This window comes from Homo sapiens, chromosome 4, assembly GCF_000001405.40.
Source record: "Homo sapiens chromosome 4, GRCh38.p14 Primary Assembly".
Lineage (NCBI taxonomy): Eukaryota > Metazoa > Chordata > Mammalia > Primates > Hominidae > Homo > Homo sapiens.
Genome location: NC_000004.12, coordinates 137,447,427 through 137,449,316, shown reverse-complemented (window position 1 = coordinate 137,449,316; position 1,890 = coordinate 137,447,427). Strand labels below are relative to the sequence as shown.

At 30.8% G+C, this 1,890-nt stretch overlaps 1 pseudogene; it reads right to left on the bottom strand.

The window, feature by feature from the left end:
- RPS23P2 (ribosomal protein S23 pseudogene 2) lies at positions 767-1,261 on the bottom strand (annotated as a pseudogene).

Here is a 1,890-nt window from a genome sequence, read left to right as displayed (position 1 = left end):
AAGTAAATTATCTTTTATAAACTGTTTCTGATATTGGTGAAAAATTTTTTTTGTATTTTCTCCTATAGAGTTTATAGAGATTAAAGATATAACTTGAATAAAATAATATCTCGATTAAAATAACACTTGTATCTTTATTTGATATATAAATACATATTAAAATTACTATAAACTCAAATTTATATTTTTATTAGTAGGTATAACATTGGGCCTTGAATTAGAATAGCAAAAAGGTATTTAGGAATTACTTGAATTTTATCAAAGCTTGGAACTAAAATTTAAGACACTTTAAATATTTTTAATATACCTTTTGTCTAGATAATTTAATGTTTAATTAAAAAACCTTATCATTTCACTTATTGTGATAGAAATACAGTGTGAAAAGAACAATTTCAAGCTTTTGACAAATTTTTATACCTGACCTTAACCAGTTTAACATATGTTTGTAAATAATTATTATATACCATATATAAAGAAAGGATTTCAGATAATGTTATGTATGCAACTAACTAAATACTAGAATAAAATAAAATATGGGAACATATAACATTCTAATGGAAAATTTAGTTTTAAGAAAAAGACAAGATAGATCTTCTGATAACATATTTATCTCATATTCCATATCATTTCGACAATGACCATTTGATTAAGCTCTTTAAATTAGTCCTTGGATAGCACATCATACCAACTGAGTAAGAACTGACTCCCTAAATGCTGTGTTGACAAAAAACTTATTTGGAGCAGAACCATTTTTTTATCCTTTTTTTTTTTTTTCAAATGAAAATTTATCACTATGGTGTTTTCACCATTAAAATTTATGATCTTGGTCTTTCCTTCTTGCCTTTGTATAGGGCCAAAAGAGAGACATTGGCTACTTTGACAACCTTAAAGCAGACTCCAGGAATGTCACCAACAGCATGACTTTTTTGACCAAATCCAGCAACCGGAGCTTCATCGTTTTCCTCACCATCATTGGGTACAAAGGCTCTGATTTTCTTACCATTCTTGATGCACTGGACCCTGACACTCTTCCTAGTGGTAGAATTTGGCTGTTTGGCTTCAACTCCTACTTTTTCCAGCATCATTCCTTTTGCAGGAGAAGCACCTCCAAAAGGGTTGGCCTTCGGGGCTGTGCCTAAATGGGCTTTCTTGGTGTTTATCACGCCACTTCTGGTCTTTTCGGTGACTATGGAGCTTCCTAGCATTACGAAGTACACGACACTTGCCCATCCTGCCAGTGCCAAGGGCCTGAGCGAAAGAGAGACTTTTAAACTTTCTAGAAATTATTTATTCATTAAGAGCACATTGTGTTTCGGATGATTCTGAAGTGGATAAAACACCTTACCGTAGAAATACTTTAATGCTAATAGAATTATCATCCACTCTTGAATTTGGGTCTTATTTTATTTTATATTGCCAACCTGTTTATGAACAATATTAAGAGTGACTTACATAGGGCTACATGATGACAATTGTTCACCCATTATAGGATGTCTATGGGTAATTAAATATCTAGAGTTTAATTTGAACGTGGATTCTGTTTATAATATTTGTTTGTATTATTGCAGGTGGAGAGATTTATAAAACAATTTTCTGAGTTCTCTTACTTTGCCACATAGATTTTGCTAAGGCTCTGCAATTTTTGTGGAATGCACTACTGTTGCATTTTCTGTTAAAAAGTACTTTGAATAGTTTTCAGGAAGTTATTGTAAGGAAAAAGTTAGGCCAATATTTTTACCTTTTGTAATCTTCAAACTAGCATTAAAATAGACTGCTTCTACAAAAATATAATATAGAGAAAAAATGAAATAAATCTCTTTATTTATATTTTCCTTAACCAAGTAACTCTGGAAAATATGTATTATTATCTCCAATGTACAGATGAAGAAC